This window comes from Homo sapiens, chromosome 15, assembly GCF_000001405.40.
Source record: "Homo sapiens chromosome 15, GRCh38.p14 Primary Assembly".
In the NCBI taxonomy this organism is placed as follows: domain Eukaryota; kingdom Metazoa; phylum Chordata; class Mammalia; order Primates; family Hominidae; genus Homo; species Homo sapiens.
The window spans coordinates 34,953,678-34,972,090 of record NC_000015.10 but is presented as its reverse complement, the minus strand read 5'-3'; the positions used below and the strand labels follow the sequence as shown (position 1 = coordinate 34,972,090).

The following is an 18,413-nucleotide window of genomic DNA, read 5'->3' as shown; positions in this document are numbered from 1 at the left end:
TGGTGGCGTGTGCCTGTAATCCCAGCTACTCGGGTGGCTGAGACAGGAGAATTGCTTGAACTCGGGAGGTGGAGGTTGCAGTGTGCTGGGATCGGGCCACTGCACTCCAACCTGGGCGACAGAGTGAGACTCCATCTCAAAATGAATATATAAATAAATAAATAAAGACTAAAATTAAAAGATTGTCCATATTCACATAGAGGGGAACAATGCACACTGGGGCCTTCCAGAGGGTTGGGTGGGTGGAGGGAGAGGATCAGAAAAAATAACTAATGTATACTGGGCTTAATACCTGAGTGATGAAATAATTTGTACAATGAACCCCTATGACACACCTTTACCTATGTAACAAACCTGCCCATCCTGCACATGTGCCCTTGAACTTAAAAATTTAAAAAAAATTGTCCATATTAAGTGTTGACGAGGTGGAGAACAAACTAGAATTATATGCTCCTGATGTGAATGTAAAATAGTACTACTTTAGAAAGATGGCAGTTTCTAAAAACTTAAACATATACTTGCCGGGTGCAGTGGCTTATGCCTGTAATCCCAGCACTTTGGGAGGTCAAAGTGGGCAGATCACGAGCTTAGGAGTTCAAGACCAGCCTGACCAACATGGTGAAACCCCGTCTCTACTAAAAATACAAAAACTAGTCAGGTGTGATGGCGCGTTGCCTGTAATCCCAGCTACTCAGGAGCCTGAGGCAGGAGAATCTCTTGATCCCAGGAGGCAGAGGTTGCAGTGATCCGAGATCACGCCATTGCACTCCAGCCCGGGCGACAGAGCAAGACTCCATCTCAAACAAACAACAAACAAACAAACACACCTATCGTATAACCCAAATATTTCACTCCTAAGTATTTAAGAGCAAAGGAAGTATATGTCCACATGAAGACTTATACACAAATGCTCATAGTGGCTTTATTTGTAATAACTGAGAACTTGGAACAACTCAAATGTCTATCAGCAGATGAATAGTTTATCAAACTGTGGTATATCAGTAAAATGGAACGAATGTTAAGCAATAAAAAAGGAATGAACTACTGATACATGCAACAACATGAATCCATCTCAAAATCATTTCGTTGAGTGAAAGAAGGCATGCACTGTATTATTTCATTTATATAAAATTCCATGAAAAGCAAACTATAGTGACAGAAAGCAGATCAGTGGTTGCCTGAAAAGTGGGTGGGAACAGTGAAAGGCACAGATAGCAAAAGTTCACGAGGAAACTTTTAGAGGCTTTGATATGCTCATTATGATTTTGGCAATAGTTTCACAAATGTATGTTCATGTCAAAACGCATCAAATTTTACAACCTAAATATGTGTGGGTTATTGTATGTGAATTATTTTTATTATTATTTTATTTTTATTTTTTGAGGCTAGTCTCGCTCTGTCACCAAGCTGGAGTGCAATGGCGCAATCTCGGCTCACTGCAACCTCCGCCTCCCAGCTTCAAGTGATTATTCTCCTGAATCCGAGTAGCTGGAACTACAGGCGCGCGCCACCACGCCCGGCTAAATTTTGTTTTTTAGTAGAGATGGGTTTTCACCATGTTAGCCAGGCTGGTCTCAAACTCCTGACCTCAGGCAATCGGCCAGCTTCAGCCTCCCAAAACGCTGGGATTACAGGCGTGACTACCGCGCCTGGCTGGGTTATTGTATGTCAATTTTTACCTCCATAAAACTGTTAAGGCCTGTAATCCCTGCACTTTGGGACCCTGAGGCAGGCGGATTACCTAAAGTTGGTGAGTTCGAGACCAGCCTGACCAATACGGAGAAACCCTGTGTCTACTAAAAATACAAAAATTAGCTGTGCATGGTGGCGCATGCCTGTAATCCCAACAACACGGGAGGCTGAGGCAGGAGAATCGCTTGAACCCGGGAGGCAGAGGTTGCTGTGAGCCGAGATTGCACCATTGCATTGCAGCCTGGGCAACAAGAGCGAAACTCCGTCTCAAAAAAAACAAAACTAAACTAAAACACTGTTAAGGGCAGTTAAAACCCAGCCCATATTCCCAGGCTGTTTTTTTTGTTTTGTTTTGTTTTTTCTTTAGGGTTGAAAAAAAACTAAATCCCCATTCACCGCACACGGCACTCTTCACTAACCACGAGAAACCCCACCCAACACCATCCACCGGGTCCCTCCCTTGCCCTCCTAATCCCGCCAGCGAGGTGTCTTCTCTCTGCCGCCCGCTAGAGGGCGTGTACAGAGGAGGTCAAAGCTCTTGGCTCGCTAGCTCAGCCCCAACGCCTGCATGAACTTCCGGCTACACGCCATTCCGCTTCCCGAGGAACGCTTGGGCTGTTGTACGGGTTCCCTACGGGACTCTGAAGGCTGAGGATATCCGGCCCGGAGCGTTTGTGCGGCGCGGAGTTAAGCGCCCCGGCAGTAACTTAAGGGAAGTGGACCAGGGTTGCCGCTGCCCAGAGCGGTCCTTTAGTTTCCACTGGAGTGGAGGGAAGAGTGCTGCCATGGCAGCCCCTGCGCAGCCCAAGAAGATCGTGGCCCCTACGGTGTCCCAAATCAATGCGGAGTTCGTGACCCAGGTGAGCTCGGGCGAGTCTGGTGTGTGTGAGTGGGTATGGACGTCGTGGCCCCGAGGCCTGGTGGTGGGGTTTTTTTTCAGGATTTAGGAGTCCGGAGGAGGCATTCGTTTGTTAATTGATTCACACACGTCTTTTTACTGAGTATCAGCTCCGTGCCGGCCACTATGCTAGGTGCTGGGCATACCGTGGTGAAAGAAGCTGCCCTGCCCTGGGGAGTTCATGGCCCAAGGAAGACAGACGCATGAAAATAAAACTACTGTATGAGTTTTGCTGTGTTGGAGTTTGTCTCAGGAGCAATGGATTCAGAGAGGAGGGAACACCCCAGTCTATCTGAGACTGGCAAGTAGGCTTCGCAGCAGAGTGATGCTGGACTGCCTCTTCAAGTAGGAGTAGGCTTTTTCCTGGTCCTTAGAGTGTCCTGAGTTTTTGAGCAGCGATGAGAAACTGACAAGACACCTCCAAATAGACCTATCTAAAAACAGAGTAATTCTGTAGTTTGAGAGCGTTCATTTAGAATCTGTTTACTATCTTGCATTGTGAGCCACAGTTGGCTTTGGATAGGGAACCACAGTCCTGTGGTTGTCAGCATCATTCCTCATTCTTATTATTTATTTGTGAATTGCATAAGAGTGTAAGTAGTTCAATGTAGAAGTTATCATGCCCACCTGCTTCTTTATTCTTTATTCCTTGTCTCAACAGATTTGCCAGGGCAGAAGCCTAGGGAGTGATTTTGAATCCTCCCTTTCCCTTAGTCCCTACATTTCTACATTCTAAATATCTTTTGAATCTATCTGGTGTTCTACATCTCTGTCACCCTAAGCTTGGTTGCCATTGTTTTCTGCCTGGACCAAGGTATCGTAATCTGTTATATTGTCCTTCCTCTTGCTCTGCTCTAGCCCATTCTTCATGTTGCTTTCCGAGTGATTTCATACAAGTGCAAATCTCATCATATCACTTGCCTTCTTAAAATTTCTGCCTTCCGGCCGGGCGCAGGGGCTCACGCCTGTAATCCCAGCACTTTGGGAGGCCGAGGCGGGCGGATCACGAGGTCAGGAGATCGAGACCATCCTGGCTAACACGGTGAAACCCCGTCTCTACTAAAAATAAAAAGAAAAAAAATTAGCCGGGCATGGTGGCAGGTGCCTTTGGTCCCAGCTACTCGGGAGGCTGAGGCAGGAGAATGGCGTGAACCCGGGAGGCGGAGCTTGCAGTGAGCCGAGATCGCGCCACTGCACTCCAGCCTGGGCAACAGTGCGAGACTCCGTCTCAAAAAAAAAAAAAAATCTCTTCCTTCCTTTCCTTCCTTTTCTTCTTTCAAGATAGGGTCTCACTATGTTGGCTGGGCTCCAGTGAGCCTTCCACCTCAGCCTCCCTTGTAGCTAGGACTACAGGGACTACACTAAGGCTGGCTGTCCTTAAAATCTTCAGCCGGGCGCGATGGCTCATGCCTGTAATCCCAGCACTTTGGGAGGCCGTGGCAGGTCGATCACCTGAGGTCGGGAGTTCGAGACCAGCCTGACCAACATGGAGAAACCCTGTCTCTACTAAAAATACAAAAGTAGGCAGGCTTGGTGGTGCATGCCTGTAATCCCAGCTACTCGGGAGGCTGAGGCAGGAGAATTGCTTGAACCCGGGAGGCGGAGGTTGCAATGAGCCAAGATCGCACCATTGCACTCCAGCCTGGGCAACAAGAGCAAAACTCCGTCTAAAAACGAAGCAAAAAAAAAGAAATCTTTAAAGAATTCTAATTACCCTTAGGTTAACGGCTGAAATCCTTCATAGTGTTGTGTGATTTGACCTGTGCTTATATCTTCAGTTTCCTCTTTTTCCTCTTCCTTTCTAACTCTGTGCCTTAGCTGTACAGAACTTCGTTTATTTGAATGTGCCATGCTATCTTTCATCTCCTGGCTTTTCAACATTGTTCCTCTGCTAGGAATCCTCATTTTTTTTCTCCCCACCTTCCTTTATTCATTCTCAGCCTTCTACACTACTTTAGAGAGGCTTTTCCTGACAACTTAAACGAGATTAGAGGTCTCTTTCCCCATATACCTGCATTTTTGCAGTAGAAGTCATTTATTAGTTTACTTCTGTCATGGAACTCACATTTTAGAGGGAAGAACCAGACAGATGAACGGTATAGTTTCATACACTGATAAATGCTATGAGGAAAATGAAACAGGGCTGTGACAGACTGGTTTGAGGTGTATGAAAGACAGTCAGGAAAGTTCTCTCCGAGGTGACATTTGAGCTAACACCTGAATGCAAAGAAGGAGCCAGTTTTGAGAAGAGCAAGGAAATAGCAAGTACACACACCTTAAGGTGTGAATGTAAAGAAGGCCAGGGTGGGCCGGGTGCGGTGGCTTGTGGCTCGCAGTGGGATTACACCTGTAATCCCAGCACTTTGGGAGGCTGAGGTGGACGGATCACCTGAGGTCGGGAGTTCGAGACCAGCCTGGCCAATATGGAGAAACCCTGTCTCTACTAAAAATACAAAATTAGCCGGACGTGGTGGTGCATGCCTGTAATCCCAGCTACTCAGGAGGCTGAGGCAGGAGAATCACTTGAACCCAGGAGGCAGAGGTTGCAGTGAGCTGAGATCACGCCATTGTACTTCAGCCTGGGCAACAAGAGCGAACTCCATCTCAAAAAAAAAAAAAAAAAAAAAAAAAGGCCAGGGTGGCCTTGAAGGCAAAGATTACCTTTCTTTGCACTCTAGAAGAGCCTAAACAGTATCTGGCAAATATTAGACATTAATGTTTGTTCCCATGGCCCAAGATTGCTGAGAACCTTCCTTTCTCACACTACATCTTAATGATCTGGCATATTTGTTCATTAATTCACTTATGTATCCATTTGACAAATAGTCATCACACAGTGTGTGCCTAGTACAATACCAGGTGCTGGGAGTACATGGGGAATAAAACAGACATGTTCTCACAATCTAACACACAGTCTGTGGAAGGAGACTTTAAGAGACTTAAAGAACTCACTGTAGTTTAATGTGAGAAATGCCAGATTGGGGTATAAGGGAAGTGCTTTGAGAAAAGAGCATGAAATTATTACTTTGTTGAAGGAAAGAATTTCCAAGAAGAATTTTCTCATTGAGAAAGTATCATTTGAGTTGGACTTTGAAATGCAGAGAGGAAAGTGGGGGAATTGGTTTTCTAGGTAGAGGGGACATCTTGGGCTTAGGTGTTTTCTTCTTCTTTCTTTTTAATTTAATTTCTGAGCATCTGGCATACCTAGCCAGAAAAGGTACTTTTAAAATTATTTATTGAATGAATGAGATCAAGAGGTTAAAATTTAGTTTTAAGGAGATTGGAGATCTGAACTTTGTGACCTCACTTTTTTATACCATTATATTTTTATTTCCTTTTTTGTCTTTCAGTAAGGTTTACTTTAAACAGTTTATACTGTCATAGCTGTACTAAGTAGAGAATGGAAAGTTTTTATTTTACATGAGACTAGAGAGTTTGAGGGAGGGCAATGTGTATATACTGTGAGATCGTGATATTTGAGACATTACACGTTAGACCCCAAGGGAAAGGAGAAACTCAGAGAAGAGACATGATAGATGCTTAATAAATGTTTGCTAATCTTTAATCAAGTACAGATGTACAGTAAGCAGTTTAGATCAGAGATAGGATATACATTTTTATTTGTAATTTCCTGAGTCCATCATAACAGGTTAGACTCAATTCTCTTAATGGTATGATGTAAGAAGAAGATGACTGAATTTATGATGCCCATAGGGAGCAGAATGAGGAAATGAGGACACCACAGAATAACTGGGGGTGAGGTGAAGATTTTCTATTGAGTTGGAGAGTGATTGGTAATTTGGGAAGGTGTTATTTATTTATTTATTTTAGAGACGGAGTCTTGCTCTGTCGCCCAGGCTGGAGTGCAGTGGCTTGGTGTTGGCTCACTGCAATCTCCACCTCCCAGGTTCAAGCAATTCTCCTGCCTCAGCCTCCCAAGTAGCTGGAATTATAGGTGCACACCACCAAGCCTGGCTAATTTTTGTGTTTTTGGTAGAGATGGGGTTTCACGATGTTGGCCAGGCTGGTCTTGAACTCCTGACCTCAGGTGATCCGCCTGCCTCGGCCTCCCAAAGTTCTGAGATTACAGGCATGAGCCACCATGCCTGGCCGGAAGGTGTCATTTAAGTAGGAAGTTACTGTAATATTTTTAGAGGCTATTCCTCAGGGCCAGTGTCCTAACTGCCTGGGAGGCTCTTTAAGTGTGTTGTATGTGTTCATCACTGAGCTATAAAAGCAAAGAAAACAAGTCCCATCTCTTAAGTATTCCAATTAAATGAGAAGGAAAGATGGATAAGCAATCAAATATTTATAATATAGAAAGGTAAGATTATAAAGAGTTATATACAAAATGAAGAGAAGGAGAAAGCAATTGTCACCATCAGGTAGTGTTGAGGACAGCCTCACAGAAGTAACATTTCAGATTTTGCTTCATTTGTCCATCCATTCATCCATCAGACTTTATTAGTGCCTCTGATATGCCAGACACTGCAGAGTAGTCACCTTTTTATAAATATATTGAGTCTTTGTGCTTGCCAGTTTTCTATTTTTAAAGAGATTATAATTGGGTTTTAAAACAAAACCCTATGAATAAGACTATGCTGTTTCTTTAAATATGTAGAGAGAGTTATATATTTGTTTAAATTTCACAATTTACAGGTCAAGCCTAATCTGCTGAAATATGCCAGCTCTTATATTCTCTGTAATAAGCAGCCGATAGACTACAATTTTTTTTTTTTTTAGGTTTTGTTATGGGTGTGAACTAATCATTTAAAGGCTCATTATTTTAGGAAAGCATTCATGAAGATTTTGAGTATCATTTGTAATACTTGCTCAACTATTAACTAACTGTAATCTTGGGCAGATCACTTATTTTTTCTAGACCAGGGTTTCCTTATTGCCATGCTGAAGATGTTTGGCTCTGTGGTTATTAACTGAGCTGTATTGTTTCTCTAGGGTGGTTGGAGAGGATTTTGTTTGTTTGTTTATATCACAATGGCATGTTGTAGTGCAAAGCACTACTGGCATTTAGTGGTTTGGGGTCAAGGATGCCAACTGGCCTGCATGCCTGTGTAGTGCCTTCAGATATACTCTGTCCCCCAGTGCCGAGTAGGGCCTTGTTAAGAAACCGCTTATCACTAAATGATCTGTCTTCCAGCTCTACAATGGCAAGAATCTGGGACTTACTGTTTATACTGTTTACTTTGCAGTTAGCATGTAAATACTGGGCTCCCCACATCAAGAAGAAATCACCTTTTGATATAAAGGTAAGTATTTTTGGTTTCAACATAATTCTTGAGAAGTTACACTCCTTTTAAAGGGTTATTTCAACAAAAGCTTTCCATAATTTTTTTAAAATTAAAAACAACCTAACGATCTACAAAAAATACAATTTTTTGCTTATCAAACTTAGCAATGATTTATGTTAGGAAATTTGGAAGACATAGAAACTACACATAAGAAAATAATCACTACACAGAGATAACCTCTCTTACCATTTTGTTGTATTTTCTTTAAGCCTTAACAAAAATGTGTATGTGGCTGGGCACGGTGTCTCACGCCTGTAATCCCAGCACTTTGGGAGGCCAAGGCCAGTGGATCACAAGGTCAGGAGATCGAGACCATCTGACCAACACGGTGAAACCCCATCTCTACTAAAAATACAAAAAATTAGCCGGGCATGGTGGTGGGCGCCTGTAGTCCCAGCTACTCGGGAGGCTGAGGCAGGAGAATGGCGTGAACCTGGGAGGCGGAGCGTGCAGTGAGTCGAGATCGCACCACTGCACTCCAGCCTGGATGACAGAGCGAGACTCCATCTCAAAAAAAAGAAAAAAAAAAAGTGTACGTGTATAATTTACTTAACTGTTTTTCTGTTTATAGATTCTTAGGTTATTTTTAATTTATCATTATTATAAATGATCATGTAATAAATATCTTTGTAAATATACAGAAATTTTTGTACAAGTTTTTGATAGTTCATTTAGGATTAAATCTGTTGGGTTATCTTGTTTTTAGAGTGGTGAATGAGGTAAAGGTCTATAATAAAGATGGAAGGAGCAGCAGTTGTATAGTGTAATAACTTAAGTCCAGTAATATTCAATAAGGGAATTGAACTTATTCAATTGAATAAGTCCAACTGAAGCAATTTAGAACAAATAATATGACAAATTCCCAAATATAGGGTTAATTCTCATTGGATTAGGTTCTTAAAGAGAGGTCTAAGGCCAGGTGTGGTGGCTCATGCGTATAATCCTAGTGCTTTGGGAGATCAAAGAGGGAAGATCACCTGAAGCCAGGAGTTTGAGACTAGACTGGACAGTAGTGAGATCTCGCCTTTACAAAAAAATTAAAAAAATTGGCTTGTGCAGTGGCTCACACATGTAGTATCAATTGCTCTGGAAGCTGAAGCGGGAGGATGACTGACTGAGCCCAGGAGCTTGAGGCTGCAGTGAGCTGTAATCAGGCCACTGCACTCCAGCCTGGGCAACAGAATGAGACCCTGTCCCTTAAAGAGAGTGAGGTCTTTAAATGAAATAGATGTTGACACTGCATACCATTCAACAAGTAATGAAGACTCTTAAGCTTTGCCATTATAAATTTAATGGTGATGCTTTAGGCACTGTTGGTAAAACTGAACTTTTTACCCAAAATTTCTTACTTTATTTGAACTTAAATTCTTACGAATATATATTTGTTTTTGCCAGTAATCTTTTATTTATTTTTTTTTTTTGGAGGTGGAGTCTCGCTCTTGTCACCCAGTTTGGAGTGTAATGGCACGATTCTGGCTCACTGCAGCCTCCACCTCCTGGGTTCAAGCGATTCTTCTGCCTCAGCCTCCTGAGTAGCTGGGATTACAGATGCACGCCACCACGCCCTGCTAATTTTTGTATTTTTAGTAGAGACGGGGTTTTACCATGTTGGCCAGGCTGGTCTCAAACTCCTAACTTCAGGTGATCTGCCCACCTTGGCCTCCCAAAGTGGTGGGATTACAGGCTTGAGCCACCACACCCGGCCAACCAGTAATCTTTATTTTATTATTTAATTTGAAATTTGATGAAAACAATAACAGAGCATTTCATCTAGATTGAACAAGACTTGTTTTCCTTATCGCCTCCCTCCCTTTACCACTCACAAATACTTATTTCACAAATGTACTTGGAGCAATTAAAAGATATTATAGGCTAGGTACCATGGCTCATGACTGTAATCCCAGCACTTTGGGAGGCTGAGGCGGTAGGTCACTTGACTTCAGGAGTTCAAGACCAACCTGGGCAACATGGTGAAACCCCATCTCTACCAAAAATACAAAAAATTAGGTGGGTATGGTGGTGTATGCCTGTGGTCCCAGCTATTTGGGAGGCTGCGGCTGGAGGATAGTTGAGACTGGAAGGCAGACGTTGCAATGAGCTGTGATTGCACTGCTACACTCCACCCTAGGTGACAGAGTGAGACCCCATCTCAAAAAAAAAAAAAAAAGACATTATAGTTACCATACAATAATATTATAGCATGTTAAAGCACTTCATAATTTTACAGTAGTATTTTTTTTTACTATTATTAATGCTAGCACTACTACTGCTGCTATTGATAACTGTTAGTGAAGGCTCACTGTATGCCAGTATTTGTACTAATTGTTTATATGCCCTGTCTTATTTTATTTTCAGTAACCCTGTGTGGTAGTTTGTGTTATTAGATCTGTTTTGTGGGTAAGGAAACTGAGGCTTGGAGAGGTCAGGCACTTGCCTAAGAGTTCCAGCCATCAGTAGTGAAGGCAGATGTTTTGAACCAGTCTTCCAATTCGAGAGTCTGAGTTCTTTTTTTCTTTTTTTTTTTTTTTTGAGATGTACAGTTCCAGAGTCAGAATTCTTTTTTTTTTTTTTTTTTTTTTGAGATGGAGTCTCGCTCTATCACCAGGCTGGATGGAGTGCAGTGGCGCGATCTTGACTCACTGCAACCTCCGCCTCCCGGGTTCAAGTGATTCTCCTGCCTCAGCCTCCGAAGTAGTTGGGACTGCAGGTGTGCGCCACCACGCCCAGCTAATATTTGTATTTTTAGTAGAGACAGGGTTTCACCATGTTGGCCAGGATGGTCTTGATCTCTTGACCTCATGATCCACCCTCTTCGGCCTCCCAAAGTGCTCGGATTACAGTCGTGAGCCACCGTGCCTGGCCAGAGTCTGAATTCTTAAGTAGTACACCATTCTGCCCACCCTCACTCAAATGAATGGAAATTCTGAAGCTCTATCATATTCATTTGGATAAAGAGATGTAACAATTAGAATTTGTGTCTGTTATGTCTTCACACTTTTAAATTATTTTCTCTCTGGGTTTTGCAGGCACACAGTTATGACTCTCAAATGGAGTCTCATAACATTTATACACTTTAAGTTTAAAAAAAATCCTGATCTTGTGAATTTTTATTTTCCCTAAAAATCTTTATAAGCACATCATTTTAATGAATCTAGGGCTCTGTTTTATTATTTGTTTTTTCTACTTTGCTTTCTGTTAATTTCATATTTCGAGGAATATAATGGGATTATTTTAAATATCTCATTATTTCAATAGCAGTAATATTTGATGGCTTTCCTAAACCAACTTATTTTATATAATCTCACTCATTAAAAACTGTCAATTTAGGGTTGAAAAAAGTTGTTGAGATATTAAACATTTTTATATTTTTATAACAGGTTATTGAAGATATATATGAAAAAGAGATTGTCAAATCAAGGTAGGAATGAATTTAAATTTTATACAATGTGATTGGGGTGGACCAAGTTGGATCTTGGCTGAACTTCTAAATGTGATCATAACTTGAACCCTTTTTCTGTTTCAAACTGGTCGTCAGGGCAATGGTGACTAGAAAAACTTTAGGTGCTGAAGAGTCATAAATTATTTTTTGCCTTCTAACTTTTGGCTCAGATTAGAGGTATCAAATCCCATAGGGTTTATTTGGATTTAGATGGAATTTGAGAAAAAGTAAACATGAAGATTTTATTACTAGTATTATTTCTGATTCACCTTTTAAAAATATTCTTAAAAAGTTATGAAAGTAAGACATTATTAAATTTACAATAATATAGTATACATATGTAATGTATAAAATGTATAATAATAAACACAGAAGTGATAAAAATTATTTTTGAGCAATATGCTGTAAGGGGTGAGTTTCAATAAATCATCTTTTCTGCCCCCAATCCCTGGTTCATGTATATGGTTCATATACATCTGTTCTATTCCCCACGCCTTCACATGTTTTTTCAAACACAAAAGGGTTTGTACTCTACATGCTATTTTTCATCATGCTTCTTTTAAAAAATTTAACAGCGTGTCTTAGGCATCTTTTTGTATATACACCTGCAGACATGTATGTCCAGTGAGTATTTTAAAAGGATATTTGACTAAATGGGTCAAAGGCCATCTTCAGGATTTTGTTCTTTATTTGGAAAACAGTAGGAAGTAAGAAGAGTTGTAAGCACAGTGGTATTTGAAAAAGAGAATTTGGGTTTGTTTGTTTTTTTTCTTTTTTTGAGACAGGGTTTCACCATGTTGGCCAGGCTAGTCTCAAACTGCTGGCCCCAAGTGATCCACCTGCCTTGGCCTTCCAAAGTGCTGGGATTACAGGCATTAGCCACTGCACCCAGCAAGAATTTGGATTTGGAGGGAGCAAGAGGCAGGGAATTAATTAGGTGAGCATTGTAGTAGTCAGCTTCAAGATGTCATAGATTTGGCTTGTGTGGAAAGTTGGGAGCGGAATTGTCCATTTGAGAAAGATAGAGGTGGAGAGACTTGATGTTTGGATGTGGCAGATGTAGGAAAAGGAAGAATCAAAGATGATCCTAAAATTTTTTGCTTAAGTTGCTGAGTGATTAGTGATGCCATTACTGACTTTTGCCACGTTGTTGGGGGTAGGATTGGGTGTAGATCTTTATTTCACTTTTGGATATATTGAATTCTAGCTACTTAAGAGCTATGAAGATGGAGATATGGAATAGGCAGTTGGATATCCAGGTGTATAGCTCAAAAGAGATTGGGTTGGCTGGGCATGGTGGCTCATGCCTGTAATCCCAGCACCTTGGGAGGCCGAGGTGGGTGGATTGTTCAAGCCCAGTAAGTAGTTCAGGACCAGCCTGAGCAACATGGCAAAACCCTGTGTCCAGAAAAAACACAAAAAATTAGCTGGACATGGTGGCGTATGGCTGTAGTCCCAGTTACTCAAGAGGATGAAGTGGGAGGATCACCTGAGCCCAGGAGGTTAAGGGTTCAGTGAGCCACAGTTGTGCCACTGCACTCTAGCCTGGGCAACAGAGTGAGACCCTGTCTCAAAACAAACAACAAAAAGAGACTGAGTTGAGCCTACTTTGTATTAGCCACCTTTTCGATGCTAACAGTACAACAGAAAAGAGGGGAGATACGATCCCTGCTCTCCTGGAGCTTACATTCTAGTAGGTCAGACAGACGGACAGACAGATATCTATATATCTATATCTATATCTATATCTATATCTATATCTATATCTATATCTATATATCTATATGTAATGTAATGTCAGGAGACAGTAAATGCTGTGAATTAAAGTGTGGTTAGAGGATAGAGACAAGGGCTGGTATTTCAGAATAATTAGGCAAATTCTCTCTGAAAGTAGGACATTTGAGCAGATTTGTAACATATGGTCTGAAGGTGAGTATGAATGAAATTTCTTGAGAAAACTAAAGATGAGTGGGTGGATTAATTCTGGTATCATTTTTTCTTCTATATTAAGGTTATACTAGTTTGAAAATTATTTTGAATCTTCAGAATAGATTTTCACTCCAGTGGAAAGTGATTGTTTATTTTTTCATTTAAACCCTTGCTATTAATATTTCTTCTTCAGAGGTGATTTTTTATAACAACCAAAAGCTGCTAATGATTTTTAAGCCATATACATTTGGCTGCTTTTTATATGTAGCTCTCTTCTGTGTAGCCGAGATTGCGCCATTGCACAATGTGTGACAGGGTTGCTCTCTTTCACCCAGGTTTGAGTGCAGTGGTGTGATCTCAGCTCATTGCAACCTCTGCCTCCTGGGCTCAAGTGATCCCCCAACCTTAGCCTCCCGAGTAGCTGGCACCACAGGCACAAACCACCATGCCCAGCTAATTCTTTTTGTATTTTTGGTAGAAACAGGGTTTCTCCATGTTGCCCAGGCTGCTCTCACTCCTGAGCTCAAGCAGTCTGCCCACTTTGACCGCCCAAAGTGCTGGGATTATAGGAATTAGCCACCACACCCAGCCCCTACCGTTATTCTTTTTTATTTTTTGAGACGGAGTCTTGCTCTGTCGCCAGGCTGGAGTGCAGTGGCATGATCTCGGCTCACTGCAAGCTCTGCCTCCCGGGTCCACGCCATTCCCCTGCCTCAGCCTCCCTAGTAGCTGGGATTACAGGCGCCCGCCACCACGCCCGGCTAATTTTTTGTATTTTTAGTAGAGACAGGGTTTCACCATGTTAGCCAGGATGGTCTCGATCTCCCGACCTTGTGATCGCCCGCCTCAGCCTCCCAAAGTGCTGGGATTACAGGCGTGAGCCACTGCGCCCGGCCACCGCTATGTTATTCTTAGTTCTGAAAGAAGTAGCTGTCTTTGGCATGGCTAAGATTTATCTTGGCACTTTTAACAGTCGTTTTCTTATCTTGGACACGTTTTTTATTATTATTTTTTAATTTTTTTGTTTTTTATGTTTTTTTATGTTTTATGTTTTTTCATGTTTATGTTTTTTGTTTTATTATTATTATTATTATTATTTTTATGTTTTTTTTATGTTTTTTTGAGACGGAGTTTCGATCTTGTTGCCCAGGCTGGAGTGCAATGGTGCAGTCTCGGCTCACCGCAACCTCCACCTCCCAGGTTCAAGTGATTCTCCTGCCTCAGCCTCCCGAGTAGCAGGGATTACAGGCATGCTCCACCACGCCTGGCTAATTTTATATTTTTAGTAGAGACGGGGTTTCTCCACGTTTGTCAGGCTGTCACTCCCGAACTCAGGTGATCCGCTTGCCTCGGCCTCCCAAAGTGCTGGGATTACAGGTGTGAGCCACCACGCCTGGCCTACATTTTTTATTTCCAAGTACACTTCTGTAACACATAAACTATAGTATGTATTTAAAAATTTAACATGGTGAAACCCCGTCTCTACTAAAAATACAAAAATCAGCTGGGTGTGGTGGCACGCATCTGTAATCCCAGCTACTCGAGAGACTGAGGCAGGAGAATCGCTTGAACCCGGGAGGTGGAGGTTGCAGTGAGCTGAAATTGTGCCACTCTACTCCAGCCTGGGCGACAGAGCAAGACTCCGTCTGAAAAAAGAAAAAAAAAATTTAAATGACCAGTTTTTTAGGCTAGGTCCTGAGGAAATTATTTTGCTGAGCTATGTGCTCACGGCATTTTCAGTATTGGGGGAATGGCTTGATGTAACAGCCATGTTACTGTATGGTACATTACACAATTGATTCATATTTGCTGTTCTTGCCATTATCAGATTTGGCAGGCTTATCTTAATGAATTCTTCATCCAAGTTTGATTTTAAAAATATTTGAAAAATAATAGTTAAGTGCTTACTATGTGCCAGATTCTGCTGTAAGCACCTTGCATTCTGCTCTAAGCATCTAGCTCATTTATTCCCACAACAACCCTGTAACACTATTATTGTCCTCATTTTATGGATGAGGAAACTGAAGTGGATAGGTTAAATAACTTGCCCAAGATGTTTCCCAGTATTTAGAGGCACACCAGGTATTGAATCCTGGTTCCCTGGTTCTTTTTTTTTTTTTTTTTTTTCTGACTTCTTACTGAATATTCTGTTCTGTTCTTTTATTTTTTTGAGATGGAGTTTCACCCTTATTGCCCCAGGCTGGAGTGCAGTGGCGCAATCTCAGCTCACTGCCACCTCCGCCTCCTGGGTTCCAGCGATTCTCCTGCCTCAGCCTCCTGAGTAGCTGGGATTACAAGCATGTGCCACCATGCCTTGCTAATTTTTTGTAGTTTTAGTAGAGAAAGTGTTTCACCATGTTGGCCAGGCTAGTCTCGAACTCCTGACCTCAGGTGATCCGCCCACCTCGGCCTCCCAAAGTGCTGGGATTACAGGTGTGAGCCACCACACCCGGCCTTGAATACTCTGTTCTTAAATAAGAGTCCTTTGCCTTCTAGAAACCTCTTAACTAGTACACTCCGGTATGATGTTTAATCCTGTTATGAACCAACTAAGTGGTTTTTATGCTTTCAAAAAGGGTGATTTACAGAGTAATTTACTTTTCCCAAAGTGCTTATTTTTATTTGAAATGTATGGACTCTTTTATTATGAAATGTAACACAGAAAACAGCATGAAACAAATGTATAGCCTTACGAATTATAGTAATAATTCATAACCACCACCTAGGCTGAAAAACTCCACGAACATTGTCGGTGTTCCAGAAGCTCTCTGCTTGTTTCTTTTTTTTATCATTATAATATGTAAGTATGCAAACAAGAACACTATAATTTTGGTTCTTTTTCAACTTTAAATAAATAAATAGAATCACACACTATGTACTCTTTTGTGGCTGGCTTCATTTTTTTTTTTTTTTTTGAGATGGAGTTTCGCTGTTGTCACCAGGCTGGAGTGCAGTGGCATGATCTCGGCTCACTGCAACCTCCGCCTCCCAGCTTCGAATGATTCTCCTGCCTCAGCCTCCCTAGAAGTTGGGATTACAGGTGCCCGCCACCACGCCTAGCTAATTTTTTGTATTTTTAGTAGAGACGGGGTTTCGCCATGTTGGCCAGGCTGGTCTCTAACTCCTGACCTCAGGTAATCTGTATGCCTCGGCCTCCCAAAGTGCTGGGATTACAGACGTGAGCCACTGTGCCTGGCGTAGCTGGCTTCTTTTGTTCACTGTTATTACTTGTTGTTTTAATCATCTGCTTAACAGATCTGGAAGTAGGTAGCTCAGAAGTTAATAATGTCAAGGCCCTTGTCAATCTTGTCAAAAGGTTTTATTGATTTTTTCCGTATGGTTGTGGTGGGGCTGCCACAGCTCCAGACCTCGTATTTCACATAGTCGTCTGAAAAGAGGAGGTTGTTGGGATAGGGGGGAATGTAATAGAAAAGAACTCTCATTTGTGTGGCCCCTTCTCTTTTTCTTATCATATTTAATGATACAGTAATAGATCCAGTTTATCATACATAAATTATTCAACTTTGGAAGGATTTAATGAAATGCACGTTAAGTCCTTGGCACAGTGTCAGGCATAATGCATGCTCTCAGTAAATATTGGTAACTTAAAAAAATAACCATCCAAATATCCTTCAAATTATTTATATTTGTGATTATTGTTTGTAACTTTTCATACTTATTATTTATTTATTTATTATTTTGAGACGGAGACTCACTCTGTCACCTGGGCTGGAGTGCAGTGGCGCAATCTCAGCCCACTGCAACCTCCGCCTCCTGGGTTCAAGCAATTCTCCTGTCTCAGCCTCCTGAGTACCTGGAACTACAGGCACACACCACCACACCTGGCTAATTTTTTGTATTTTAGTAGAGACGGGATTCCACCGTGTTGTCCATGCTGGTCTCGAACCCCTGAGCTCAGGCAGTCCACCCTCCTTGGCCTCCCAAAGTTTAGGATTACAGGCGTGAGCCACCATGCCCGGCCTTCCATACTTATCTTTAAAATTCTTCTGACATGGTGTCTAGTTCATAGACCTGTTTTTTTTAATCTTACAAGTACACTTTCAGTTAAGCTGTTCACTTTATCTGTCTCAGAGAGTTCATTGGCAAAAGTATAAAACTCCAAATTTAATAAATACCACTGAGATTGCTAGAAGAGGAATTGAATGTTTTTCAGACTGCTTTTGCTTTATTTTGACTTACCAAGAGTTATTTTTCAAGGCCAGGCATGGTGGCTCATGCCTGTAATCCCAGCACTTTGGGAGGCTGAGGTGGGAGGATTACTTGAGCCCAGGAGTTTGAAACCAGTCTGGGCAACATAGTGAGACTTCATCTCTACTAAAAATCAAAAAAATTAGCTGGACGTGGTAGCACATGCCTGTAGTCTCAGCTACTTGAGAGGCTGAAGTGGGAGGATTGCTTGAGCCTGGGAGATTGAGACTACAGTGAGCTATGTTTGTGCCACTGTACTCTAGCCTGGGCAATAGAGCAAGCTCTGCCTCAGAAAAAAAAAAAGACTTATTTTTCACTTGTCTAGTTATCATAAAGGAAAGTTGGCTGCTCTACCATTTTTATACATGAGGAAACTGAATTGCAGAATGTTTAAAAGACGTCAGGTGTGGTAGCTCACGCCTGTAATCCTAGCATTTTTGGAGGCTGAGGTGGGTGGATCACCTGAGCTCAGGAGTTCGAGACCAACCTGGACAACATGGGGAAACCCCTATCTCTACTAAAAATACAAAACATTTGCCAGGTGTGGTGGCACGTGACTGTAATCCCAGCTACTCAAGAGTCTGAGGCACAAGAATTGCTTGAGCCTGGGAGGCGGAGGTTGCAGTGTACCGAGATCGTGCCACTGCACTCTAGTGTGGGCGATGGAGCAAGACTCTGTCTCAGTAAAAAAGAAAAAAATAAACAAAATGTTTAAAAGACATTGTCAAAGTAACACTGAGTCATTACTAGAACACTGGTATTCTATCTTATGAGCCAGGATTTTCTGTCTTTTATCATGAGGTCCTATTTGTGACTGAAGAAATTTAATGTAGAGTTTTGTGTATAGTGGGCAGTGAGTGAATTCTGTTGTCTAACATACAGTTAATTCAAGTGAAATGTCTGCAGTTGGAGATTTAGAGTGTGTCACTCAAGATGG

The 18,413-nt window shown here is 41.8% G+C and overlaps 1 protein-coding gene across 1 annotated transcript in view, besides 3 other annotated features; it reads left to right on the top strand.

Moving 5' to 3' along the window:
• Positions 2,246 to 2,355: an enhancer, noted in NCBI's record as "active region_9184". NCBI's record gives its function as "activates an Ori minimal core promoter by ATAC-STARR-seq in GM12878 lymphoblastoid cells {active_cell/tissue: GM12878}" and the evidence as "EXISTENCE:reporter gene assay evidence [ECO:0000049][PMID:35858748]".
• The window catches only part of AQR (aquarius intron-binding spliceosomal factor), a 117,961-nt gene continuing 101,896 nt past the window's right edge, over positions 2,349 to 18,413 (top strand). Inside the window, exons 1-3 of the mRNA NM_014691.3 lie at positions 2,349 to 2,552; positions 7,801 to 7,857; positions 11,277 to 11,317. Coding sequence (NP_055506.1) covers positions 2,478 to 2,552; positions 7,801 to 7,857; positions 11,277 to 11,317 — 173 coding nt within the window. The 5' untranslated portion in view covers positions 2,349 to 2,477. The remainder of the gene's footprint in view (positions 2,553 to 7,800; positions 7,858 to 11,276; positions 11,318 to 18,413) is intronic.
• Positions 2,406 to 2,555: an enhancer, noted in NCBI's record as "active region_9183". NCBI's record gives its function as "activates an Ori minimal core promoter by ATAC-STARR-seq in GM12878 lymphoblastoid cells {active_cell/tissue: GM12878}" and the evidence as "EXISTENCE:reporter gene assay evidence [ECO:0000049][PMID:35858748]".
• Positions 3,724 to 4,288: an enhancer, noted in NCBI's record as "H3K4me1 hESC enhancer chr15:35260004-35260568 (GRCh37/hg19 assembly coordinates)". NCBI's record gives its function as "activates a minimal SCP1, AML or CMV promoter by ChIP-STARR-seq in naive H9 embryonic stem cells {active_cell/tissue: H9 hESC(naive)}" and the evidence as "EXISTENCE:reporter gene assay evidence [ECO:0000049][PMID:30033119]".